At 52.4% G+C, this 26,672-nt stretch overlaps 1 long non-coding RNA gene across 2 annotated transcripts, besides 9 other annotated features; it reads right to left on the reverse strand.

The window, feature by feature from the left end:
- Nucleotides 4,144-4,861: an enhancer, noted in NCBI's record as "H3K27ac-H3K4me1 hESC enhancer chr22:36838581-36839298 (GRCh37/hg19 assembly coordinates)". NCBI's record gives its function as "activates a minimal SCP1, AML or CMV promoter by ChIP-STARR-seq in naive H9 embryonic stem cells {active_cell/tissue: H9 hESC(naive)}" and the evidence as "EXISTENCE:reporter gene assay evidence [ECO:0000049][PMID:30033119]".
- On the reverse strand, nt 6,675-16,265 carry LOC124905111 (uncharacterized). 2 transcript variants are annotated; one of them, XR_007068089.1, is made up of 2 exons: nt 15,753-16,265; nt 6,675-7,212 (listed from the first exon to the last, which is right to left on the reverse strand). It is a non-coding gene; the product is annotated as an uncharacterized LOC124905111 (long non-coding RNA). The 2 variants fall into 2 exon arrangements; XR_007068088.1 differs by lacking the exon at nt 15,753-16,265 and adding an exon at nt 14,504-14,630.
- Nucleotides 13,114-13,618: an enhancer, noted in NCBI's record as "H3K4me1 hESC enhancer chr22:36847553-36848057 (GRCh37/hg19 assembly coordinates)". NCBI's record gives its function as "activates a minimal SCP1, AML or CMV promoter by ChIP-STARR-seq in primed H9 embryonic stem cells {active_cell/tissue: H9 hESC(primed)}" and the evidence as "EXISTENCE:reporter gene assay evidence [ECO:0000049][PMID:30033119]".
- Nucleotides 13,398-13,597: an enhancer, noted in NCBI's record as "active region_18935". NCBI's record gives its function as "activates an Ori minimal core promoter by ATAC-STARR-seq in GM12878 lymphoblastoid cells {active_cell/tissue: GM12878}" and the evidence as "EXISTENCE:reporter gene assay evidence [ECO:0000049][PMID:35858748]".
- Nucleotides 13,619-14,122: an enhancer, noted in NCBI's record as "H3K4me1 hESC enhancer chr22:36848058-36848561 (GRCh37/hg19 assembly coordinates)". NCBI's record gives its function as "activates a minimal SCP1, AML or CMV promoter by ChIP-STARR-seq in primed H9 embryonic stem cells {active_cell/tissue: H9 hESC(primed)}" and the evidence as "EXISTENCE:reporter gene assay evidence [ECO:0000049][PMID:30033119]".
- Nucleotides 16,495-16,904: a silencer, noted in NCBI's record as "silent region_13669". NCBI's record gives its function as "represses an Ori minimal core promoter by ATAC-STARR-seq in GM12878 lymphoblastoid cells {active_cell/tissue: GM12878}" and the evidence as "EXISTENCE:reporter gene assay evidence [ECO:0000049][PMID:35858748]".
- Nucleotides 16,495-17,212: a biological region, named in NCBI's record as "NANOG-H3K27ac-H3K4me1 hESC enhancer GRCh37_chr22:36851001-36851651".
- Nucleotides 16,562-17,212: an enhancer, noted in NCBI's record as "NANOG-H3K27ac-H3K4me1 hESC enhancer chr22:36851001-36851651 (GRCh37/hg19 assembly coordinates)". NCBI's record gives its function as "activates a minimal SCP1, AML or CMV promoter by ChIP-STARR-seq in primed H9 embryonic stem cells {active_cell/tissue: H9 hESC(primed)}" and the evidence as "EXISTENCE:reporter gene assay evidence [ECO:0000049][PMID:30033119]".
- Nucleotides 17,213-17,862: an enhancer, noted in NCBI's record as "NANOG-H3K27ac-H3K4me1 hESC enhancer chr22:36851652-36852301 (GRCh37/hg19 assembly coordinates)". NCBI's record gives its function as "activates a minimal SCP1, AML or CMV promoter by ChIP-STARR-seq in primed H9 embryonic stem cells {active_cell/tissue: H9 hESC(primed)}" and the evidence as "EXISTENCE:reporter gene assay evidence [ECO:0000049][PMID:30033119]".
- Nucleotides 23,058-23,590: an enhancer, noted in NCBI's record as "H3K27ac-H3K4me1 hESC enhancer chr22:36857497-36858029 (GRCh37/hg19 assembly coordinates)". NCBI's record gives its function as "activates a minimal SCP1, AML or CMV promoter by ChIP-STARR-seq in naive H9 embryonic stem cells {active_cell/tissue: H9 hESC(naive)}" and the evidence as "EXISTENCE:reporter gene assay evidence [ECO:0000049][PMID:30033119]".

A 26,672-nucleotide genomic window follows, 5' to 3' on the forward strand; every position in this document is an offset into this window, starting at 1 on the left:
AATTCCTGGGTTCAAGCGATCCTCCCACTTCACCCTCCCAAATTGCTGAGATTACTAGTGTGAACCACCACACCTGGATAATTTAAAAAAATTTTTTTGTAGAGATGGGAATCTCACTATATTGCCCGGCCTGGTCTCGAACTCCTGGTCTCAAGGGATCCTCCCACCTCCCAAAGTACAAAGATTACAAGCATGAGCCACCACACCCAGCTAATTTCTTATTTCAGTAAATGGGGCCTGGAGGTGGAAATTCAGCACTGGACACAAACCCTGGAGCCTCTAGAGCCTAATTCAGAATACAGTCAGAGAATGGACACCCACCAAGTCCAGGCACCTGGTTCCTGAAGCCCCCAGTGATTTAAAATAAGGAGCTCCCATATAAGGTAACAAGGGTGGTCAGATTTAACAAATACAAATACGGAACAGCTGGCTTGAATTTCAGATAAATAAATAACTTTCTAGCATAAGTATGTCCCAAATATTGCATGGGACAAACTTACACTAAAAAGTTCTTTTTCTGTATTGGAAATGCAAATAATTCAAATTTAAGTAGGCATCTTGTATTTTATCGGGCAACCCTAAACACAGTGAAAGAAAAAAATGAGAAAGTTCTGTATGTGCTGATATGAAATGCTGTCTGTTTGGGCTGTGGTAACAAAATACCTTAGACATGGGTAATTTATAGATGATAGAAATTTATTAGCCAGGTGCCGTGTCTCACACCTGTAATCGTAGCACTTTGGGAGGCCGAGGCAGGTGGATCACCTGAGGTCAGGAGTTTGAGACCCACCTGGCCAACATGGTGAAACCCTGCCTCTACTAAAAACACAAATAAAAAAATTAGCCAGGCCTGGTGGCATGCGTCTGTAATCCCAGCTACTCGGGAGACTGAAGTGGGAGAATCGCTTGAACCCGGGAGGCGGAGGTTGCAGTGAGCGGAGATTGTGCCATTACACTACAGCCTGGGCAACAAGAGCGAAACTCCGTCTTAAAAAAAAAAAATGGCCTGGTGTGGTGGCTCACGCCTGTAATCCCAGCACTTTGGGAGGCCAAGGCAGGCAGATCACGAGGTCAAGCGATTGAAACCATCCTGGCCAACATGGTGAAATCCCGTCTCTACTAAAAATACTGGGCATGGTGGCGTGTGCCTGTAATCTCAGCTACTAGGGAGGCTGAGGCAAGACCATCGCTTGAACCAGGGAGTTGGAGGTTGCAAAGCGATACTCTGTCTCAAAAAAAAAGAAGAGTATAGGAAGTATGTTAAGTATAAGCAACTGGAAACATGGGCTGCTTCTTGGAAGAGGACCTAGGTGGCAGGAACAAGACAGGGTAGAAGACTTTGTCTTACTGTGCCCGCTTTGTACCTTTTGAATTTTGTACCATGTAACTATTTCATGCAGGCAAAAAAATGAATAACATAATTAGGCTCTTTTGTCCTGACCCCACTCCCTGAATCCTTAACCTCCTGCATTTTAGAAATACTCCAGAGCTTGTCTTATTCTTACCAAAATTCCTGTAGGCCTTTGACTCCTGACTCACCCTGTCTGCAGTGTCCCCCAGCCTGCAGGGGTGGGTGAGTCACAGCAACCCTCAGCCACCAGCTGTTTTCCATCTGCCGGCCTTCCTGGGGGAGAGTCCCTTCCAGCTGTAGCCCCTGTCTATGGGAAAAGTCTCATGTCCTTTTCATCTCTCCCCACTGCACACTGTCTCTCACCCTAGACTATAATTCAAGTGAATTTGACCTCCATTTATTGGACAAGCCAGGCACTGTGCTAGGAATAATGAAAACCATTAGACAAATCTGAAAGGGAGGGATCACTAGACTAAGGGGTAGAAATGTGGAGATGGGAGTAACTTTCTGCATGTCTTTGCAGGAGGTGGCATGTGAGAAGGCTTCTTGGAAGAGGTGGCACCTGAGCTGTGGAGGGAACAGCACTCCAAAGGGTAGTCTAGAGGGACCAGCGTGAGCAAGAGCCTAGAGTAAAAAAGATGAGGTTGGGGCTGGGTGCGGTGGCTCACGCCTGTAATCCCAGCACTTTGGGAGTCTGAGGTGGGTGGATCACTTGAGGTCAGGAGTTCAAGACCAGTCTGGCCAAAATGGTGAAACCCTCATATCTACTAAAAATACAAAATTAGCCAGGTGTGGTTGTGCATGCCTGTGATCCCCGCTACTAGGAGAGTACGCTGAGGCAGGAGAATCGCCTGAACCCAGGAGGCGGAGTTTGCAGTGAGCCAAGATCACGCCACTGTACTCCAACCTGGGTGACACAGTGAAACTCCGTCTCAAAAAAAAACAAAAAACAAAAAACAAACAAAAAAAAAAAACACAAAGATTAGGTTGGAAAGGTGACTGAGGCCAGATTCATAGGGCTTGATGACTGATAGTGTGAATCTGGTGGTGGCTGAGGAGAAGGTTGAACAGAGCGGCATGTTCTAGAAAGCTTGCTCTGTCATCTCCTTGACGTTTCTCTCTTTTCTAAAAAATTTTTTAAGCCAGTTAAGGTTAGCAGTGGAGGTGTACAACTTTAGTGACACAAATGTGAATAAGTTCTGATAACTGACTGCCATTGGGCCAGCCTTCCTTGAAGTTTCTCTTGCTGGGCCTGTGGTGTTCACTCAGTGGAGACAGTGTTTGTCTGAGAGTTGTAAGAAAAGCATTCTCCTGAGCAAAGCTAGGGTTTTTGGGAAGTTATCAGCAAGTCTTTATTGAGCACCGTGATGTGTACAGCTCAGCATAAAGCACGGGGCAGAGAAGGCAGGAAAAGCAAACACAGACACAGGGGCTTGCCCTCGAAGAAATTACAGTCACGGGGAGGAAAACAGCACATCTTTTTTTGTTTGTTTTTGAGATGGAGTCTCGCTCTGTTGCCCAGGCTGGAGTGTAGTGGAGTGATCTTGGCTCACTGCAACTTCCACCTCCCGGGTTCAAGCGATTCTCCTGCCTCAGCCTCCTGAGTAGCTGGGATTATAGGCACCCGCCACCACGCCCAGCTAATTTTTGTATTTTCAGTAGAGACAGGGTTTCACCATGTTGGCCAGGCTGGTCTTGAACTCCTGACCTCAAGTGACCTGCCTGCCTCGGCCTCCCAAAGTGCTGGGATTACAGGCGTGAGCCACCGGGCCCAACCTAGCTCAGTGCTCTCTACACAGAGCCCACTGCCTCCCACAGGGCTGGGAGCTCAGGGCTGGCATCAGGGAGGGCTTCTAGAAGCAGGGCCTTGCCAGGCACTGGACCCCAGGCAGTCCCATGCGGGTGGCACAGATGGGTGCTGCTCCAGGAAGGACACAGGCTTTCCCCTGGACCTCCCTACTCTGTAACCTAGGTGACTCTGTTCTGGTTGGGCTTGGCTCTCAGCAGCCAGTCAAGGTGATCTGGGAAGAAGACCACAATTTCCATATAATTCTTGCAATCGAGGCTGGTTCGGTAGCTCACGCCTGTAATCCCAGCACTTTGGGAGGCCAAGGCAGGCAGATCACCTGAGGCCAGGAGTTGGAGGCCAGCTTGGCCAACATGGCAAAACCCTATCTCTTTCCAATAAATACAGAAATAAAAATTAGCCAGACATGGTGGCACACACCTGTAGTCCCAGCTACTCAGAAGGATGAGGCATGAGACTCCCTTGAACCCAGGAGGCAGAGGTTGCAGTGAGATGAGATTGTGCCATTGCACTCCAGCCTGGGTGACAGAGCGAGACTGTTTCCAAAAAAAAAAAAAAAAAAAAAGCAACCGGGCATGGTGGCTGAGGCGGGAAGATCACCTGAGGTCGGGAGTTTGAGACCAGCCTGACCAACATGAAGAAACCCCATCTCTATTAAAAATACAAAAAATTAGCTGGGCGTGGTGGCTCACGTCTGTAATCCCAACACTTTGGGAGACTGAGGTGGGTGGATCACCTGAGGTTGGATGTTCAAGACCAGCCTGGTCAACATGGTGAAATCCCATCTCTACTAAATATACAAAATTAGCTGGGCGTGGTGGCGCACGCCTGTAATCCCAGCTACTCGGGAGGCTGAGGCAGGAGAATCGCTTGAACCTGGGAGGCAGAGGTTGCACTGAGCCGAGATCGCACCACTGCACTCCAGCCTGGGTGACAGAGTGAGACTCTGTTTCCAAATAAATAAATAAATAAGTGGAGAGGTAACCCTGAAGGCGTAATCAGCCATTGATACTTCAGTGTAAATTAGTTATCAGAACCTGAGTCTGCCAGCTGAATGCTGGGCCCTGCCCAGAATGACACAGGACAGGTGAGGAGGGAGCGGTCCGAGGGCTTTGGCTGTGCCCTGGGAGTGGCTGGGTGGAACTTCTTCGGTTGCATCTGGCCCTGGGCCCCGTGTCAAGGTGGCACCGAGAAGGGAGGTGCCCACGGTGGAAGCTTATGGTGATGTGGAAAGTGCACCAGGCCCAGGCTCGCCACCCACTACCTACGTGGCCTTAGGCAAGCCGCTTACCTCCCTGAGCCTTAGCAACCTCATCTGGGAAATGGGGATAATGCCACTGTATCTACGTTGCAGGTGGGGTGGGCGTGCTTCAGAGGTTGCTCCAGGGAGCTTTAGAATCCCCTGGGTGACTCCTTTAAACCCAGCTCACTGGGCCCCACCCTCAGTTCCTGCTTCAGTCTGCAGAGGGGCTGAGAATGTGTATTTCCAACAGGTTCCCTAACAAGCTCCCAGGGGGTTCTGATAAGAGGATCTCTACAAAAAGCTAGGAGATGGGGAGGGAGGGTTGCAGAACACAACCTGGAAAGGACTAAATGCAAACTTCACACTCTCATCACTACAGCTAGACACAGGGTGCCCAGAAGGGGACGAGATGACATGGCATACAGGGCGGATCAGGGCTCTGAGCTCTCTCCAACAACTGCTCCCATTAATGCTGAAGTATCCCATAAAATGCAAGATGTCAAATCATTTTCTCTCCCTCCCTCCGTCCCTCCCTCCCAAAGTTCTCCTTCCTCCCTCCCTCCTTCCTTCCCTCCCTTCCTCCCTCCCTCCTTCCTTCCCTCCCTTCCTCCCTCCCTCCCTTCACTCCTTCCCTCCTTCCCTCCTTCCCTCCTTCCTTCCTTCCTTCTTTCAAGACAGGGTCTTGCTCTGTCACCCAAACTGGAGTGCGATGGTGTGATCACGGCTCACTGCAGCCTTGAAAGTTGCACTTCCCACCTCAGCCCTGCAAGCAGCTGCAACCACAGGCATGCCCAACCATGCCTGGCTTTTTTTTTTTTTTTTTTTTTTTTGGAGAGATCGGGTCTCATTATATTGCCCAGGCTGGTCTCAAACTCCTGCGCTCAAGAGCTCCTCCTGCCTCGGCCTCCCAAAGTGCTAGGATTTGTCAAGTCATTTTCTTATGCCAGCACTCTGCTAAATGCTAAATGCTTCACATGAATCACGGTACATCAACTTCCCCCCCACCAAGTCCATGAAGAAGGTTATCAATATCCCCATTTGACAGGTAAGGAACCTGTGGTGCATGGAATAATGGCCCCCAAAGATGTCTACAGTCCAATCCCCAGAACCTGTGAATATTACCTTACATGGCAAAAGGAACTTTGCTGAGAGGATTTTGTTAAGAATCTTGAGATAAAGAGAGTATCCTGGATTATCTAGGAAGAGGTGATATAATTTCGAAGACCCTAGAAAGGGGAAAGCAGAAGGCCAGCAAGTCAGGAGGTATGAGGATGGAAGCAAAGGTTTCAAAGATGGAGGATGGGGACACCAGTCAAGAAATGTGGGCAGCCTCAGCTGGGCGGGGTGGCTCACACCTGTAATCCCAACACTTTGGAAGGCCAAGGCGGGCGGATCACCTGAGGTTGGGAGTTTGAGACCAGCCTGACCAACGTGGTGAAACCTTGTCTCTACTTAAAATACAAAAATTAGCCGGGCGTGGTGGTATGCACCTGTAATCCCAGATATTCGGCAGGCTGAGGCAGGAGAATCGCTTGAACCTGGGAGGTGGAGGTTGCAGTGAGCCGAGATTACGCCACTGCACTCCAGCCTGGGGGACAAGAGCGAGACTTTGTCTCAAAAAAAAAAAAAAAAATGTGGGCAGCCTCTAGATTATGCTGGAAAAGACAGGGAAACAGATCCTCACCTGGAGCCTCTATAAAGAACATCACCCTGGCCTGGTGCAGTGGCTCATGCCTGTAATCCCAGCACTTTGGGAGGCCGAGGTGGGTGGATCACCTGAGGTCAGGAGTTCGAGACCAGCCTGACCAACGTGGAGAAACCCCGTCTCTACTAAAAATGCAAAATTAGCTCGGCGTGGTGGCGCATGCCTGTAATTCCAGCTACTCAGGAGGCTGAGGCAGGATAATCGCTTGAACCTGGGAGGCGGAGGTTGCGGTGAGCCAAGATCCCACCACTGCACTCCAGCCCGGGGGACAAAAGCGAAACAACAACAAAAAAGGAACATCACCCTGCTGACGTCTTGATTTCAGGCCTGTAAGATTCATTTTGGGCCAGGCGTGGTGGCTTATGCCTATAATTTCAGCACTTTGGGAGGCTGAGGCACTAGAATCCCTTGAACCCGGGAGGTGGAGGTTGCAGTGAGCCAAGATCGTGCCACTGCACTCCAGCCTGGGCGACAGAGTGAGACTCTGTCTCAAAAAAAAGGAAAATTAAAAAATAAAACTAAATTAAAAATTTTTTAAAGATTCATTTTGGACTTTTAATCTCTGGAATTGTAAGCTAATGGATTTGTTTTATTTTAAGCCACTACGTTTGCAGTAATTTGTTACAGTGACTATACAAAATTCATCCTAAACCTGAGACTCAGAAACGCAAATGCGGTCTTTCTGTCTGCAGAAATGGGGCTCAGACTCAACCACAAGTTGACTCAACAGCTGACCAGGGTCAGGAGTTGAAAGTACCAACAATGCCAAATTTCTTTTCCCGGGGATGAGTGTTGGGGAATTCTGCTGTTTTTAAATGTCAGAATTGTTATGGGAAAGAGGAATGGTTTGGGTCAGGCAGAGCAAAGAGTTTCCATATTTTGGACCAACTCCAATTGATGAGAACTGGCTGTGCAGAGCTTTGTGAAGCGGAAGCAAAGTCTTGAGGCTGAGCCCAGGCTCCCGGGGAAAGGGTGCTGGGATCGACTGGCAATGTCTGCTCTGGGTGTTCCATGGGAGAGGAGCTGTGTCTGCTGTTCTGGATTAGATGCGTTTCCCCTGCGCTGGCACTGGGTCTGACTCTTCTTCCCTGGGCTTATTAGTATGCCTGAAACAGAGCAAACAATTTGTGAGGGAGGGAGGAAAGAGGAAGGAAGGGAGGAGGAACACAATGAAAGAGAAGTTTGTATTCACGGAGGCCAGGACCAGAACAGACAGGTGGCCTTCTGGGGTGGGGAGCTTCTGATTGGCCTTCCCAGCATCTTTCACCTCCCTCTTCTGGTCATAGCAACCCCTGTCTTTGGGGATCATCTTAATCTATTCAGGATGCTTATAAACAACAGAAATTTACTTCTCACAATTCACAGTTCTGGCGGCTGGAAGTCCAAAGTCAAGGTGCTGGCAGATTCGGGGTCTTATAGATGGCACTTTCCTCACTGTGTCCTCACATAGCACAAGAGGCAAGAGAGCTCTCTTGGGTCTCTTTTATTTTTCTTATTTTATTTGTATTTATTTTAGTTTATTTTATTTTTTATTTAAATAGAGATGGGGTCTCTCCATGTTGCCCAGGCTGGTCTCAAATTCCTGAACTCAAGCGATGCCCCCCACCTTGGCCTCCCAAAGTGCTTGGATTACAGGGGTGAGTCACCGCACCCAGCCAATTTCTTTTACATGCCTGTTTGTGCATTGAGTGTCTTTTATTTTTATTTATTTGTTTATTTATTTTTGAGACAGTCTTACTCTGTCACCCAGGCTGGAGTGCAGTGGCACGATTTCTGCTCACTACAACCTTGGCCTCCTGGGTTTAAGTGATTCTCCTGCCTCAGCCTCCTGAGTAGCTGGGACTACAGGTGTGTGCCACCATGTCTGGCTAATTTTTGTATTTTTGCAAAGACGGGGTCTCACTATGTTGCCCAGGCTGGTCCCAAACTCCTGGGCTCAAGGGATCTGTCCACCTCAGCCTCCCAAAGTGCTGGGATTACAGGCGTGAGCCACGGTGCCCAGCCTGAGTCTTTTTTATGAGGGCAGTAATCCGGCCGGGTGCCGTGGCTCACGCCTGTAATCCCAGCACTTTGGGAGGCTGAGGTGGGCAGATCAACTGAAGTCAGGAGTTTGAGAGCAGCCTGGCCAACATGGTGAAACACCATATCTACTAAAAACACAAAAATTAGCTGGGCATGGTGGTTGGCACCTGTAATCCCAGCTACTCAGGAGGCTGAGGCAGGAGAACCGCTTGAACCCAGGAGGCAGAGATTGCAGTGAGCCAAGATTGTGCCATTGCACTCCAGCCTGGGCATCTAGAGCGAAACTCCATCTCAAAAAAAATAAACAAATAAAATAAGGGCACTAATCCCACTCATGAGAGCTCCACCCTCATGACCTAATCACAACACAAGGCCCCACTTCCTAACACCATCACCTTGGGGGTTAGGATTTCAATCTATGAACTTGGTGGGTAGTGAGCACAAACTCTGTTCGTGGCAAGGATCTGCCCCTCCCCCATCCATCTGGTGATGGTGAAACTGCCAAACACAGGGTACTGTCCCCTCTTCTCAGAGGCAGGCCTGTGACCCGAGCTAGGCAACCCGGCTCTCTTTCCCAGAAATCGTCCCTTTTTTTTTTTTTTTTTTTTTTTGGAGATAGGGTCTCGCTCTGTCACCCAGGCTGGAGTGCAGTGGTGCAATCACGGCTCACTGCAACCTCTAACCTCTGCCTTCTGGGCTTCAAGTGATCCTCCCACCTCAGCCTCCTGAGTAGCTGAGACTACAGGTGCACACCACCACGACCAGCCAATCTCTAACAATTTTTTTGTAGAGATGGGGATCTCAGCTGGATGTAGTGGCTCATGCCTGTAATCCCAGCACTTTGGGAGGCCGAGGCTGGTGGATCACTTGAGGTCAGGAGTTTGAGACCAGCCTGGCCAACATGGTAAAACCCCATCTCTACTAAAAATACAAAAATTAGCCAAGCATTGTGGTGAGTGCCTATAATCCCAGCTACTCGGGAAGCTAAGGCAGGAGAATCACTTGAACCTGGGAGGCAGAGGTTGCAGTGAGCCAAGATCATGCCACTGCACTCCAGCCTGGGCACCAGGGAGAGACTCCATCTCAAAAAAAAGAGAGACGGGGATCTCACTTTGTTGCCCGGGCTGGTCTTGAACTGCTGCATTCAAGCGATCCTCCTGCCTCAGCCTCCTGAAGTGCTGGGATCACAGGTGTGAGACACCACACCCAGCCAGAAATTGAACCTTGGTGAGAGACACTGAGTGGGGAAGGGCAGAGACTGGGAGTTAGGAGTTACAGCATCTGAAGGCCACATCCTGGAGAGATGGCCACAGACTCAGCCAGTGAAGAGGAAGTGCTGGGGCTGGGGCCAGAACCCTGTCTGTGTGACCCCTGAGACTGAGCTCAGACACCCCTAACCCTGAAGGCACCTCTCTTTCAGGACCAACAGCCAAAGGCACAGAAGCCACTGGCCTGGGAGGGACTGTCCCTGGGAATGACCCTGCTCTCTGAGGGCTGGGCATCTGGACTCCCTCTGCTCCAGCTCCTCTGTGGTTGTATTCCTCCATTTCTATTCTAATTAGTCAGTTTCCATGGCTGGATACCATAAAATCTCAGTAGAAGGAAGAACAGGCCAACCATCAGAGCTGTTCAATTTCAGAAAATCTCTTTTTGTTGCTGGGGACAGAGTCTCACTATGTCACCCAGGCTGGAGTGCAGTGGCGCGATCTCAGCTCACTGAAACCTCTGCCTCCCGGGTTCAAGTGATTCTCCTGCCTCAGCCTCCTGAGTAGCTGGGATTGCAGGTGCATGCCACCTTGCCTGGCTAATTTTTGTATTTTTAGTAGAGATGGGGTTTCACCATGTTGGCCAGGCTGGTCTCAAACTCCTAACCTCAGGTGATCCACCCACCTCAGTCTCCCAAAGTGTTTGGATTACAGGCGTCGGCCACCGCGCCTGGCCCAGAAAATCTCTTTAGTCGGGACTTGAGAAAGGGACTGGGTTCCATCTGGTGGGAATGGGAGGGAGGTTCAGTGTCTGCTGCCAGTGAGACCTGGGTTTGTTCCCTCCCCACTGGCTGTGTGATGGAGGCAAGACCCTTCATTCTTTGAGCCTCAGTGTCCTGTCTGTGAAACAGGCAATGAGCACATTTATCTCACAGGGTCCCGGTGAGGCACATTGGGATAACATAGGTGAAGCCCTTAACACAGTTCTGGGCAAAGCAATGTGACTTCTCTCCTCCCCAGCGGCACTTGCACCACGTGGGGAGAAACTAGGTTAATACATCCCTGCCACACATAACTACCAAGTGCCTGCTGTGTGCTGGCCACAACACTAAGAGCCTTACATGTGGTCCTTCATTTAATTTTCAAAGTGATGACGATGATTCTCAGTGCACAGATGGAGACTCTGAGCCCAGAGAGGCTAAATAAACTGCTCTCAAGGACACCAGCACTTTCTGCAAAGAGCCCCAGATCCTAACTAGGACTTACGTTGCCTGCGCTGGGAAGAGACCCAAATGCCTCCCGGCTGTAGGAGTCCCTGATTGCAGACGTAGGGTCTCAGTCCCCGCCCCAAGAAGCTGTAGGTCCAGTTGAAGAAGAGACACACACAAGGAAAAGGAAATTGAACTGAGAAGGCAAAGCGTGACTGTGGGGCCTCTGCTATATCCAGGGTCTCCAGAGAAAGGACTAGAAGCCACTATTCCAATTCTGAGGCCTCAGGGAAGCAGCAAGTTCCTGTGAGGAAACAGGATCCCACAGGTTTCATCCTCCTCCTGTCACTCTTCTAGGTGGGGAGGGAGGGCTCCCCCACGTCCCACATAAGCACACAGAAAGGAGAGGCCAGGGCAGCACAGGCTCAGAACCTGAAGGACTTGGGGACATCGCCAGCCCCATATCCTTGTTTTATACACCAGGTAGGGCAGGAACTATGGCAGGTCCACAGAAAGGGGCCGGCAGAAGCACAGCCACGACGCAGGCCCCCTGGGCTGTCCAGTTTCTCCCGGACAGAACATTTCCCTTCCCTAGCAGCCCCCAACGTGGAGCACTGGATTTGGAGTCAGGAGACCTGTGTCTTCTGCAATCACTCTGAGACCAACTCCTGTGTAATCGTGAGTGAGCGCCTTCCCATCTCTGGGCCTCAGCTTCCACCTCTCTAAAATGAGGGGGTTGGATTCCATCCAATGTTATAAGAGCCAAAGGTTATGAGTTGGTAGCGCCCCCACCATTCCGGGTTTCTCCAATCTCTCCAGGGGCCTCAGAGACCCCAGACAGAAGAGGAACTTGGACAGAGGCTTGGGTGGGGGTGGAGGTGGGGATTCTGAGCCGTGGATCCACCCTCTGCTGAGTGCCAGGCCTACAGGCAGGCAGGCAGAGCAGGCAAGAGCCGTCCCCTACACAAAGGGAATTGGCCCCTCATGGTGGGACAGAGGCCAGAACCCAGCTGGGCCCTCAACCACCCTTCTTTCCTCCACAACCCCCTCCCAGGGATGGTGGCATCCGAAGCCAGCCTGGCAAGGGAACTGGTTGCCACGTGGGGACTTCCCGGAGCTGGGGGTGATGGGAAACAGGGTGACGGGAAACGTCCTGAGGTTGCTTCCTCCCCTTTTGTTTGGATCTCAGACTGACCTGGGAACCAACTGGGCAGCCATGGGGTATTCTGATGGTGGGGAGTTGGAGGGGGAGAAGGGACCTGCCCCATCCCCTCAGGCTGCTTTGCAAGTTAAAATAGCTGTGAAGATCTATCTCCCAGAATTCTAAAAGCTAAAATACCTTTTGAACCACCACCAGACCATTATGCCTGGAGTGGAAGGATGCTTAGAGGAATCCCTTCTTTTTTTTGAGATGAAGTCTCGCTCCATCACCCAGGCTGGAGTGCAGTGGCGCTATCTCGGCTCACTGCAACCTCCACTTCCCAGGGTTCAAGCAATTCTCCTGCTTTAGCCTCTCGATTAGCTGGGATTACAGGCGTGCACCACCACGCCCGGCTAATTTTTCTATTTTTTAGAAGAGACGAGGGTTCACCATGTTGGCCAGGCTGGTCTCGAACTCATGAACTCAAATGATCCACCCGCCTCGGCCTCCCAACACGCTGGGATTACAGGCGTGAGCCACTGTGCCCATCTCGAATCCCTTTTTAAAACTTCAGGTATGGCTGGGTGCGGCGGCTCATGTCTGTAATCCCAGCACTATGGGAGGCTGAGTCGTGAAGATCATTTGAGCCCAGGAGTTCAAGACCAGCCTGGGCAACATAGGAGAACTCGTCTCTATTCAAAAAAATACCAAAAACCAAAAACCAAAAAATTGTAAGTCATGACCCACTGGTGGATCTTGAAATTAATTAAGTCGGTACTCTGAGTAAATCAGAATTTTTTTTTGAGATGGAGTCTCACTCTGTCACCCAGGCTGGAGTGCAGTGGTGTGATCTTGGCTCACTGCAACCTCCACCTCCTGGGATCAAGCAATTCTCCTGCCTCAGCCTCCCAAGTAACTGTGACTACAGGTGTACTCCGCCATGCCTGGCTAATATTTTGTATTTTAGTACAGACGGGGTTTCACCATGTTGCCCAGGCTGGTCTTGAACTCCTGAGCTCTGGCAATCTGCCCACTTCGGCCTCCCAAACTGCTGGGATTATAGGCGTGAGCCACCGTGCCTGGCCGCAAATAAGGATTTAATAATGACGATGATAAAATAGAAGGGAAAATCTCAGAGCACATCCTGGGTAGTAATAGCAAACTGTCTTGGCTGTGTGGTGGCTCATGCCTCTAATCCCAGCATTTTAGGAGGCCAAGGCAGGAGGACTGCTTGAGGCTAGGAGTTAAAATCAGCCTAGGCAACACAGTGAGGCCCCATTCCTACAAAAAAAAAAAAAAAAAGAAAGAAAGAAAAAATTAGCCGGGTATGGTGGTGTGTGCCTATAGTCCTAGCTACTCCAGAGGCTGAGGCGGGAGGATTGCTTGCGCCCAGGAGTTCAAGGCTGCAGTGAGCCATGATCGTGCCATGGTACGGCAGCCTGGGTGACAGAGCAAGGCCCCAACTCTGAAAAACAAAATAAATACAATAAAATAAAATGGTCAAAATGGCCTGGTGCAGTGGCTGGTGCCTGCAACCAGAGCTACTTGAGAGGCTGAGGCAGGAGAATCACTGGAGCCCAGGAGGTTGAGGCACCACTGAACTCCAGCCTGGGTGAGAGTGAGATCCTGTCTCTTTAAAAAAGAAAAAACAAAAAAAGCAAACTGTCTCATGAAACTCTTGTTTCCATGTTGCACGCTCTGCCAGGTTGTGATGTAATGTATTTCTTACTCTGGGTCACAGTCACAAAACCTTGAAATGTCACTCACTGTCTTGGCTCATGCGTCGTAAGCCTTTGTTCCCCAACAGGGGGAAGTGAACCAGCACACAAGGCCCTTCCGTCCTGCGGAGCTCACTGCCTTCCTCAGCTCCTGGCCCGCACTTCCGACCACACACTGGGGACACACCCTCGGGGGGGCCCCACCCCAGCAGCTGCCCATGTTCACACCTCTTCAGTTATTTCAAACTCCGCCTCTCTCGGCCTGATGCCCAACACTTCCTTCACCCAAGGAGGTCCTGTTCAAATATCACTTCTGGCCAGGCGCGGTGGCTCAGGTCTATAATCCCAGCACTTCGGGAGGCCCCGAGGCAGGCAGATCACCTGAGGTCAGGAGTTTGAGACCAGCCTGGCCAACAGGTGAAACCCCGTCTCTACTAAAAATACAAAAATTAGCCAGGTGTGGTGGCACGTGCCTGTAGTCCCAGCTACTCAGGAGGCTGAAGCAGGAGAATTGCTTGAACCTGGGAAGCGGAGGTTGCAGTGAGCCAAGATTGAGCCATTGCACTGCGGCGTGGGAGGCAGAGGTAGACTCTGTCTCAAAAAAAAAAAAAGTCACTTTCTCTGCCAGTCATATCTTCTGCAACCCTGAGGAGCCAGGCAGGACGACCCCTTTACCCTCTGAATCAATTGGTCTGTATCAGGGTCTGGCAGAGGGAGGGGAAGTTGGCCCCTCTGATTTAATGGATGAATCAAGAAAATGTGTGACTGAGCCATGGATTCATGGGGATGGGGTCCTGGAGCAGAGGCTTGCTGTGCACCTACTAGGTGCTGTGTACCTCACAAGCCACTGGGGACATCAGACCACCAGAATAAGTCCACTTTCCCCAAGGAAAGTGGTCAAATGTGGGAGCCAGGTGTGCAAATCCCCACCCCAGGGTGATAACAGCCCCAATAAAGGCACATGCAAGGGGGACCTTCGGAGCTGATGACACTGTACAGGCATCTAAGAGGCTGGTGACAGGGTCACCAAGCAGAGGTCTAGAGCAGGGCTGAGTGGGGTAGGGGGGGTTCTTCCAGGCAAAAGGCAAAAACTCTGTTGGTACCGTGTAGGTCTTCCACAGCACATGCCACATGAGAAGAAACATTCGCCTGGCGAGTGGCTGAAGTCTATAATCCCAGCACTTTGGGAGGCTGAGGCAGGTGGATCGCTTGAGCCAAAGAGTTTGAGATCAGCCTGGGCAACATGGCAAAACCCCGTCTCTACAAAAAATACAAAAATTAGCCAGGTGTGGTAACCCATGCCTGTGGTCCCAGCTACTCGGGAGGCTGAGGTGGGAGGATTGCTTAAGCCTAGGAGGTCAAGGCTGCAGTGAGCCATGATTGTGCCACCACACTCCAGCCTCAGTGACAGAGTGAGACCCTGTCTCGAAAAAAAAAAAAAAAAAAGAGAGGGAAAGGAAAAATTTTATTTTACATTTATGTATTGAGGGCAGGGACCATGCCTGCTGGGCTGCTCACCACTGCTGAGCAGGATTCCTGGTGTGGCATCCTAACACAATAAATATTTACTGAATGTGTACTCAGGAAACTGCAAAGGGTTCAGGCTGGCCTGAGAGTAAAGTGAAAGAAGGAAGTGGTAGAAGAGCCCAGAGGTCTGTGACCCCAGAACCTGGAGGGCACCTGTGGCCTGGGTCTTTCTCCTGCAGGCACTGGGGAAAAGTCGGAGGGTTTATTTTATTTAATTAACTTATTTATTAATCAATTAATTTTTTGAGATGGAGTCTCACTCTGTCACCCAAGCTGGAGTGCAGTGGTGCGATCTCAGCTCACTGCAACCTCTGCCCACCGGGTTCAAGCGATTTTCCTGCCTCCCGAGTAGCTGGGATTACAGGCATTCGCCACCATGCCCGGCTAATTTTTGTATTTTTAGTAGAGATGGGGTTTCACCAGGCTGGCCAAGCTGGTCTCGAACTCCTGACCTCAAGTGATCCTCCTGCCTCGGCCTCCCAAAGTCCTGGGATTACAGGTGTGAGCCACCGCGCCAGGCCGGTAGGAGGGTTTAAACAGGAAAGAGATAAGCAGTCAGATTCATAGTTTAGAAAATCCTCAGGTTCTGGTGTTCGGGTGGATGCCTGGAGTGGGGATCTGGAAATCAGGGGCAGGGGTTAGTAATAACCCAGGTGAGGAGACTTGAGTCTAGAGGCAGCCAAGTGGGGACCTATGGAGGAGTTCACGTGCTGCAGGTGTGCGCCGCCGAGGCGGAGCCAGGCTCTGGAGCTGCCAGGGGCTCAGAAGCCTCCCTCTCAGATCTCTCCCCTTTTGGCCACAGATGGGAAGGAGAGAGGCACTCACCCGACCCAGCGTGGCAGTACAGTAGTGTCCAACCTGTCACTGTTGGGCGTGGTGGCGTGTACCTGTAGTCCCAGCTACTGAGGAGGCTGAGATGGCAGCAGCACTTGAGCCCAGGAGTTGGAGGCTGCAGTGAGCCGACAGCGCCACTGAACTCTAGCCTGGGTGACAGAGCGAGACCCTGTCTCTAAAAAACAGAAAAGAAAAATTACAGGTCGGGCGCAGTGGCTCACGCCTGTAATCCCAGCACTTTGGGAGGCCGAGGAGGGTGGATCACGAGGTCAGGAGTTCAAGACCAGCCTGGCCAATATGGCGAAACCCCGTCTCTACTAAAAATACAAAAATTAGCCAGGCGTGGTGGTGTGCGCCTGTAGTTTCAGCTACTTGGGAGGCTGAGGCAGGAGAATAGCTTGAACCCGGGAGGCGGAGGTTGCAGTGAGCCGAGATCACGCCACTGCACTCCAGCCTGGCAACAGAGCGAGACTCTGTCTCAAAAAAAAAAAAAAAAAAAAAAAAAAAAGAAAAAGAAGAAAAAGAAAAAAGAGAAAGAAGGAAAGAATTACATAACAGTAAGCAACCTAGCTAGATTTGAACCAGGCCCTGCAGTTCTAAAGCACTGGCTTTTGCGGAGCGGCACTCACTCCGCATCGTGGCATAGGTAGATTTCTTTTCTAAAGGTGAGGTCAGTGCTGGGCACTTAGCAGGCGCCCGGTGGGCTGCGCCGTCCTGGAGGAAGGCTGATTCCTCCCACCCCGACTCCTGGCTCGTGGGTGGGTAATCCAGCACATTCTCCCCACCCCGGCAACCAACTTTGTGGCCGAACAAGCCCTCCCCGGCTTGTTCCGCTGGTCCCAGGCGCCTGCGCATCCGGACACGATGAGGAGCAGGTGCGCGGGGCCGGGGTGTGTTCGAGGGGGTCGTGCGCGCCTGGGCTGCCTCCCCGCGGACGGCGGACTGGGCCGGGGCGGCGCTTCCTGGCAGAGAGGCGCGGAGGGGCGTGGCTTTGGAGAGGTGCCCCCGGCGGGCTGGCGGCCTGGCTGCGGTGAAAGGCGGGCGGACGCAGGTGACGACAACCGCTCCATAAAGGGCGCCGCGGCGCGACGCTCGCCTTATATGGGCAGGCTCGGCGCGGGAGGGGCGGGGCGTTCCACCCAGCTGGCTCCGCACCGAGGCCCGGCCGAACCCCCGAGGGGGGAAACTTCTCTGCGAGGGTGGAGCCTCCTCAGCGGCGTCCCCAGGTCCCGAGAGGGGTCCCTACCCAGGCTAAGACTCACGACGGGCTCCACCCTGCAGGGGCTCAACTTGCAGAAACCCTGGGGCCTGCCTTCCCCAGGGGTCTGCCCTCCTCAGGCCCTGCTAGGGCACTGACTCGGTTTGTGCTGTGTGGCGTTTTTTCCTTCACCCCACCTGGGCCGCAGGTCCTCGCTAGATAGCCGAGGGAGGGTCCTTTAAGTGAGCTCACCTCGGAGCCCCCAGATAACCAAGCCTGAGCCTCCCGGCTACATGGCGAGGCTTCCCCAATCCGGTCAGCCCCAAGCAGGTGCCTTTCTCTAACTGGCACAAAGGAAGTCTCCTAGCCAGGCTGAGCCCAAGCCTCGGTAAACATGAGCCTTGGATCCACTGGAAGTGTTTGGCTAACTGGGCCCTTCTTGGCCAGACAAGACTTTAACCCTAAGAGGAAGCTGCCAGCATGACGCAGCCCACCATATTCTCCCTCCAAGCTCTCTTCATAGCCCGGGTCCTTAAAAACCCAAATCTGTCCAATTGCTACTTGCCGTCCACTCGTTGACAGTTACTCCGCTTCACAGCCTCCCGATCACCTGAGTGTCCTCCCTCGGCTCAGTGCACAGGGCTCTGTGAGCTTACAGTTCCCTGGTTGCCGTTCCGTGCCTCCCAGCCCTGCACCTGCTGCTCCTTTCTGGAAAGCCCTTTCCTTGCACACTCCCAGACACGTGCTCACCCTTCAGAGAGATACTTCTTAGCGTCTTCTTCCTGACATTTGTAGTGATTACTTAACCTTTCTGAGCATCAATTTCTTCATCTGCAAGATGGGGGTAAAATAATCCCCACCTCACTGTGTTATTGTGAGGATCGAATGAGTTAATGTTTGTAAAATGCCTGGCATATAGTAGCTGCTCATGAAAAACTCGTTGACCAAATTCCTCTTCCTGTGCTCTAATTGCTCATGTATGTGTTGTGAGTGCCATGAAGGCTGGCCTCTTCCTTTTCCAGCTATGCATACCTAGTTCCTGGCACATATATAGATCTTGAACCAGTGTTTGTTGGCGAATGAATGAATTTCAGGCAGTAGGGGTCGGGGAGAGAAGAGACCCCTAACTGTGATGGTCATCAACCCTCACATCTGCCGGGATGTAGGGCATTCTAATGCTTCCCCCCTCAGTTGCCCAGAGCTTCATGGCAACCAGGAGGGACACAGCATGGATATGGACCCCGTTTTCCAGATAAACCTATGAGTGATTAGAGGTGAAGTAACTTCCCCACGGTTACACAATGAGTGGAAGAGTCGGCATCAGGGTGACCAACGTGTACTTTTTTTTTTTTTTTTTGAGACGGAGATTTGCTCTTGTCGCCCAGGCTGGAGTGCAATGGCGCGATCTCGGCTCACTGCGACCTCTACCTCCCAGGTTCAAGCAATTCTCCTGCCTCAGCCTCCCAAGTAGTTGGGATTACAGTTGCCCACACGCCCAGCTAATTTTGTATTTTTAGTAGAGATGGGGTTTCTTCATGTTGGTCAGGCTGGACTCAAACTCCCAACCTCGGGTGATCTGCCCGCCTCAGCCTCCCAAAGTGCTGGGATTACAGGCGTGAGCCACTGTGCCCGGCCCAATGTGTATTATTATTATTATTATTATTTTAGCACTGAGAGTTCCACGTCCCAGGAATCTCTTTAGTCTCAGGCAGCCAGGATGGTTGGTCACCCAAGATCAACTTCTAAACGTTAGTCTCTGAGGACCGCCACCTTCCAACCTCCCCTGCACCCGTCCCATTATTCCCAAGTATTTTACTGCGTTCCTGAAGGGGACACAGGCTCTCCAGCCCAGAAGGTCCAACAGATTTTAAAAAGTCACACTCTGATTCCCCAAAAAAGTTAGACTCACAGCACAGTAGGGATGGGGGACAAGGACATTGGAAGGGCATTGAGGCCAGGTGTGGTGGCTCACGCCTGTAATCCCAGCACTTTGGGAGGCTGAGGCGGGTGGATCACTTGAGGTCAGGAGTTCGAGACCAGCCTGGCCAACATGGTGAAACCCCGTCTCTACTAAAAGTACAAAAACAAGCCAGGTGTGGTGGTGCGCACCTGTAGTCCCAGCTACTCGGGAGGCTGAGGCAGGAGAATCGCTTGAACCCGGGAGGCAAATGTTGCAGTGAGCTGAGATCGTGCCACTGCACTCCAGCCTGGGCGACAGAGTGAGACTCTGTCTCAAAAAAGAAAAAAAAGAAGGCCCAGGTAGGAGTTTGCTTCACTTTGACAGGGACTCATGGGCCACTCCTGCACCAGGCCCTGGGCCTGGGACCAGGAACTGAGAGAAGGCTGGCCCCCACCTGTGGGACTCTAGCCAGGTGGGGGAGACAGATGTATAGACACAATGCCAACAGTTTGGTTCCTCGACGGCTGGAGAAGGGAGTGATCGACCAGGGTTTCTGAAGAACCCCCTCCTGACGTGGCCACTCACCAGCTGACCTCAGGCCTGTCCCTTCCTTTGGCTGGCCCTGGACCTTCTCTGTCAACTCAGGCAGTTGGAGCTGGTCCCTGAGGGCCTTCCTGCCCTGAAGTCATGACTTGTGGGGAGCTGAGTTCTGGGAAATGCATCCTCTGGAGAGGCACCAGAGGCCGCGCATGCCTGAGTGAGTGTGGGGGTGCGCCCTGGCCTCACTAGCCAAACACCAACTTCATCTTCCCAGGCTACCCTGGCCCGAGCAGCTCCGGCTCCTTCCCTGCCTGCCTCATCCTCCCAGGCCACTGTCCAGGAAGCTGGCCTCTCTGCCTGTTCCCCACAGCCCCTGGGGGTGGGGCCAGAGTAGGGCAAAAAGGGCCTGGGCCTGGCCCAGCAGAGCCTCTGCCCCTCCTTCGGGGGCTCCTGTTCTTGTGGGCTGAGAGCTGCAGCCCTGCAGCCGGCCTGGCTGTGGCTCAGTGGTCAGGGCCAAGTGCAGAGCAAACACCCTGCCCACTGGGCAGCCATTTCACGGTCATTCCCAGGCTGCATGGGGTCCCCAGTCGGGCAACTAAGTGCAGATGTGAAACAACGAGCTTTCCAAGATCCAGGGATTTGACCCTTGGGAAAGAGACTCCCTAAGGGAACTGCTTCCTGTCACTCCCCAACCACCACTTTGAGAAATAATTTTCTCTCCCTCAACCTCACTGCCAGCCTCAGTCAAGAGCAAACCGAGGACTGGTAGTGGGAGCTCAGGGCCACCTTGGGATTCTCTGCTCTCGCTGCTGGCTGAGCCCAGGCAAGGCCCCTGCCCTCTCTGGGCTTCCATTTCCCTCTCCTGCTCCAAACTTGCTAGCTTCCTTCCCTATCTCAACATCATAGGGACCCTTCGAGATGGGAACTACTAATAGGGGAAATCATATGGGAAACCAGGCTGGGCGCAGTGGCTCACACCTATAATCCCAGTACTTTGGGAGGCCGAGGTGGGAGGATCACCTGAGGTCAGGAGTTCCAGACCAGCCTGACCAACATGGTGAAACCCTGTGTCTACTAAAAATACAAAAATTAGCCGGGCGTGGTGGCAGGTGCCTGTAATCCCAGCTACTCAGGAGGCTGAGAGGTAGGGGAATCACATGAACCTGGGAGGTGGAGGTTGCAGTGAGCTGAGATCCTGCCACTGCACTCCAGCCTGGGTAACAGAGTGAGACTCCATCTCAAAAATAAAATAAAAAATGACCATATCCTTATAGGAACCATTATTTTGAACTCAGAATCTCAGAAAAACCAGGATTTGGGGCCTGGAACTTTCTTTGTCTTATTTTGTTTTGTTTTGGATTTTTTGGGGAGACAGAGTCTTGCTCTGTCACCCAGGCTGGAGTACAGTGGCGCGATCTAGGCTTACTGCAAGCTCCGCCTCCCGGGTTCACGCCATTCTCCTGCCTCAGCCTCCCGCCACCACGCCTGGCTAATTTTTTGTATTTTTAGTAGAGATGGGGTTTCACCGTGTTAGCCAGGATGGTCTCCATCTCCTGACCTCGTGATCTGCTCACCTCGGCCTCCCAAAGTGCTGGGATTACAGGCGTGAGCCACCGTGCCTGGCTGGGGCCCGGAACTTTCTAAGGCAGAGGCGGCAGAGACAAAGAGGTGGCTGGAGGTGGGGCAGTGCCGAGCCAAGTCTCAGGACATCCCTACTGCCGAGCCTCCCCTCCCACAAAGTAAACCGGCAGGTGGGCAGTGCAGGCGGGGCCCAGCTCGGGTTTCACTCCTTCCCCGCTCTCGGGGACAATAAAATGCTCCCTTTGCCCTGGAAATCCCACTTGTATAAAATCCAAAAGAAGAAATAAGCTCTTATGTTCAAACAGGTTTGTTCCAACCTCATTTATAATGGAAAAATATTAACTGAAAAATTCCTTAGTATCCGACAATGGGGGAGAAGTTAACAGTTTGACCGGAGCTGAGTGACATGCAAAAGGGTGTTTGTGGAGTGCAGGGAGCTCCTGCTGTGTGTGTGGGAGGGTGGAGAGGGCATGGGGAGAGGAGCAGGGACCCCAGAGTCAGACTGTCTAGGTTTAAATCCTGTCTGCTCCTTCCTAGCTGTGTGACCTTGAGTCATAACCCAAAGCCCTCTGTACCTCCATGTCCCCCTCCATAAACTGGCACTGGGCTGGGCATGGTGGCTTATGCCTGTAATCCCAGCATTTTGGGAGACCAAGGCAGGTGGATCACCTGAGGTCAGGAGTTAGAGACCAGCCTGGCCAACATGGTGAAACCCCGTCTCTACTAAAAATACAAAAATTAGCCAGGTGTAGTGGCAGGTGCCTGTAGTCCCAGCTACTCAGGAGGCTGAGGCAGGAGAATCGCTTGAACCCAGGAGGCAGAGGTTGCAGTGGGCCGAGATTGTGCCACTGTGCTCCAGCCTGGGTAATAGGTGACAGAGCGAGACTCCGTCTCAAAACAAAACAAAACAAAAAAAAGGAGAGAGAGACTTGGGGGATGTGTGTGCCCAGAGGAAAATCCATGTGAGGACCCAGCAAGAAGGTGGCCACCCGCAAGCCAAGCAGAGAGGCTTCAGGAGAAACCAACCCTGCCAGCACCTTGATTTTGGACTTCCAGCCCCAGAACTGTGAAAAAATAAACATCTGTTGTTTAAACCACCCAGTCTGTGATATTTTGTGATGGCTGGCCTAGCAAACTAATACACATTACTAACACACAATAAGAGAAGCGTTTAATAGGGCGCTTACCACGTAATTGCATTGTGTTCTGACATTACATTTACGATCTCATAACCATGAGGAGGGTCCTGTCCTCCCATTTCAGAGATGAAGGAAACTGAGGCTTGGCTAGTGACGGAGAGGGCTGTGACTGGAGCCAGGACTGTGTGACTCCAAGGCCCCACCAAAGCCTCCTCCTGGGATGGACCATGGACTTTCCTGCCTCTGTGCTGTGCATACGCTCTCCCTTCTGCCTGGAATACCCTTCCCACCACTTGCCTCTCAGGACGAGTCCCAGTCGATTCTTCAAAACTCTTCTTGGCCCGGCAAGGTGGCTCACACCTGTAATCCCAGCACTTTGGAAGGCCAAAGTGGGTGGATCACTTGAGGTTAGGAGTTTGAGACCGGCCTGGCCAACATGGTGAAACCCTGTCTCTACTAAAAATACAAAAATTAGCTGGGCCTTGTGGCAGGTGCCTGCAATCCCAGCTATTCAGGAGGCTGAGGCAGGAGAATTGCTTGAACCTGGGAGGTGGAGGTTGCAGTGAGCCAAGATCACACCACTGCACTCCAGCCTGTGCAACAGAGTTAGACTGTCTCAAAACAAAAACAAAAAACAACTTTTCTCAAGCATCACCTCCTTCCCATGCTTTACCCGACAATCTCCTTTTGCAGATGTGCTGCTTTTCAGGGCTTGCGGCCAGTCTGTACTCTGTCACCATGGTGGTAAATGTCATCTCTCCTGTAGCATTTAGACTTTAGATGTGTCCATGTGTTTGCTGTGAACTCCTGGAAGGCAGGGGCTGTGTCTTGCTCTAGTTCCTATCACCCAGCAGGCCCAGAGGGGCTCCGCACAGACGCTTGCTGGCTGAGGTAGCCAGTTTGGCCTGGAGAGAGTATTCCCGCCTCAGGAGTGGATCATGAGGAAATGGAATCTCCTGCCTCCTTGTGGGGTGGGGGTTGGGGGAGGTGGATAAAAGAGAGGCTCCACCTGGCACGGTGGCTCGTGCCCATAATCCCAGCACTTTGGGAGGCCGAGGTGGGTAGATCACCTGAGGTCAGGATTTTGAGACCAGCCTGGCCAACATGGTGAAACCCCATCTCTACTAAAAATACAAAAATTAGCTGGGCACCTGTAATCCCAGCTACTCGGGAGGCTGAGGCTGGACAATCGCTTGAATCCAGGAGGTGGAGCTTGCAGTGAGCCAAGATTGTGCCACTGCACTCCAGCCTGGGGGAAAAGAGCAAAATTCCATCTAAAAAAAAAAAAAAGCGGATCAAGGTCCCTACTCTGGGCATGAGAGGAGGGATCCTTTGACACTCCTGGGAGCAGCAGTGTGGCAGAGGAGGAGGAGCAGGGCATGGGGTCAGCCACCCTCAGTCCATTTCCCAGGGTGTGGCCTTAGGCACGGTCACTACCTCTCTGGGCTTCTGTCTCCACATGTATGAAATGGAATCAGTCCCTCCTTCCACAGGTGTTAGGTCGAAGAAGGCACCTCTGGTGGTATCGGCACAGAGGCTGGACACTGGATGACTTCTTTGCTGGGACACTGAGGTAGGGGGCAGACCAGAGACAGACAGCTACTTGCCTAAGCTCACCCAGCAAGCTGGCTGAAGGTGGAGAACTGGCTTGTCCTCCAGTTGGTAGTTAACAGCTGTCTAGCAGGAGTGTTCTTGCTCCCAGGAGACGCTCCGTTGGCTGCCACAGAGGTAAGCGTGAGAGTGCGCTCAGAAGTGGCTGGGAGGCATGGAGAACAGAGGAGCAGGTTCAGGGTGAATTCCAGTGGGCATTCTCCAAGGGTGAGGTCACTGCCTCCAACTCCCTAGGGCTGCCTGAGACACAGGCACCACCAAGCCAGCTCCAGAGCAGGAGGAGGTGGTGGCAGGGACCAGGGCCAGGTCACAGGGCTGAATGTAAGGCCCTCAGCCTGGTACAGCGACGGGCCCCTCCCATGGTGCTGGGGTCCTTACCTTGGGAAGCCCGGTGTTTCCTGTTTAAGATGTGGCTGGGGGTAGGGGAAAGGAGAAAGCCACACAGATAACACTTCTGGAACTTCCAATCGGTGCCAGCGTGCTTCCACCTGCTGAGCCGTGACCTCATTTGCAGGGACTGTCATGAGCCCCAACTTGGAGATGGTGCAACTGGGGCTCAAAATGGTGAAAACCTTGTCCCAAAAGGAAAGCAGTATAGCTAATGAGCAAGAACAAAGAGAATTTGAAATTAAAGACATTGGGGTTCATTCTTTTCCCCTTTTTTAAAATTTATTTTTGGGCCGGGCACGGTGGCTCACGCCTGTAATCCCAGCACTTTGGGACGCTGAGGTGGGCGGATCATTTGAGGTCAGGAGTTTGAGACCAGCCTGGCCAACATGGTGAAACCCTGTTTCTACTAAAAATACAAAAATTAACCAGGCATGGTGGCAAATGCCTGTAATCCCAGCTACTCGGGAGGCTGAGGCAGGAGAGCTGCTTGAACTCAGGAGGCGAAGGAGGTTGCAGTGGGCAGAGATCATGCCATTCTACTCCAGCCTGGGCAACAGAGCAAGATTCCATCTCAAAAACAATAAAATAAATAAATAAAATTTATTTTTTATATTTTTATTTTTTAGAACAAGATCTCACTCTGTCACCCAGGCTGGAGTGCAGTGGTGAGATCACAGCTCACTATAGCCTCAAACTCCTGGGCTCAAGTGATCCTCCCACCTCACCCTCCCAAGTAGCTGGGACTACAGGCGCACACCGCCATGCCAGGCTAATTTTTTTTTAAATTTTGTGTAAAGACAGGGTCTTGCTATGTTGCCCAGGTTGGTCCCGAACTCCTAGGCTCAAACGATCCTCTTGCCTTGGCCTCCCAAAGTGCTGGGATTACAGGCGTGAGCCATCGTGTCCGGCCACATCGGAGTTCAAATCTGAGCTCTGAACTCCATTCATGCCAAGTTACTTAAGCCCTCCAAGCCTCAGTTTCCTTGTCTGTAAAATGGCGGTAACAATGGTCCCTGCTGTTGGGGTTGCGGTGGAGACTCAGTGAGAGGATTCATGTAGCACACACTCAGTAAGTGCCAGCTGTCACTGCCAGCCTATTTCACCACCGTGAACACAGAGCCTCAGAATGGAAAAGCAGCCTGCCCAAGGTCGCACAACTTGCAGGTGGCACAGGCAGGATCTGAATCCAGATCAGATTCTTCCCGCCCTACTTCTATCACCGTGGAAGGGCCTGGGGGGGCCTGCAGCCAGGAGGTGGCTGGAAAGGGAGGTTCCTTGGAACAACCAGTGGCCCAGGCTTCCTGCAGAGCCGGGGACCCCAGCCCTGGCCAGGGTAAGGGTCACGCCTGCAGCTGGTGTTCCAGGCATCGGAGAGGAACTGCGGCTGCAGGCCTGGCAGCCTTACCGTCGCCAGCATCCTGCCCTCCATGGACACGGCCCCAACATTGTTTTCTGGGCCGTTCCCTGCCCAGAGCCCACACATTCGGGATTTCCGCAGCTTGGCCAGCACTACCTTCGCTTCCTGGAGCAGCTTTCCCCAGGCGGCCGGGGTGGGGGTTGAGCTGGCCCTGGCCCCTGGTAGGGGCAGGCACTGCTCGGAAGGCAGTGGCAGCAGCGCCGTCAACATCCTCTTGACCTGACAGGTCCTTACCCGAGTTCTACCTCCTCAGAAACACAGCGGCCCTCCTCACTCCCCTCTCCTGAGGCCAGCGTAGAAAAGGCCCTACCTCATTTCCACTTTAGGGTAGGCTGGAGTGAGAGCCCGGGTTAAAATCCTAGCCCTACTACAAAGGTGCTGTGACCTGGGCAAGCCTCCCCTTCCCTCTGCCTCACAAGGGATGCTGGGTAGCCTGAGGTGCCTTAGGCTGCCCTGACATCAGCTCAGGGATGACCGGCGCCCCGTGCTCTGAGGTCTCTGGGCATAATAAGCTCCTTGATGACAGGGTCAGTTTCTCTCCCGTGTTCTGCAAGTTTATTTTTATTATTATTATTATTTTTGAGATGGAGTCTTGCTCTGTTGCCCAGACTAGAGTGCAATGGTGTGTTCTCATCTCACCGCAACCTCTGCCTCCCAGGTTCAAGCGATTCTCCTGCCTCAGCCTCCCAAGTAGCTGCGATTACAGGCGTGCACTGCCACGCCCGGCAAATTTTTGTATTTTTAGTAGAAAAGGGGTTTCGCCATGTTGGCCAGGCTGGTCTCGAACTCCTGACCTCAGGTGATCCACCCGCCTCGGCTTCCCAAAGTCCTGGGATTACAGGCGTGAGCCACCGCGCCCGGCTCCATGTTCTGTATATTTAGAAGGAACCTGTGTGAGTGGCCACCAAACGTTCACTCTGAACCATGCTGGCGCTGCCTGCAGGTGAGCGTGCCTGCCCAGAGTGGTGTCTCAGTTGTCTCACTGCCCACCCTGGCGCTCCGTCTCCTCTGTGGGCTGGCACCTGCTCCCTGGTAGGGCGGAGCTGAGGGGCACAAGGGAGCGTGGAAGTCAAGCAGCCAGCCCAGCAAACTCGAGCTTCCACCCCTGCCGCCTCTCTGCAGGCAACCACGTGCA

Source organism: Homo sapiens, chromosome 22, assembly GCF_000001405.40.
Source record: "Homo sapiens chromosome 22, GRCh38.p14 Primary Assembly".
Taxonomy (NCBI): Eukaryota; Metazoa; Chordata; class Mammalia; order Primates; family Hominidae; genus Homo; species Homo sapiens.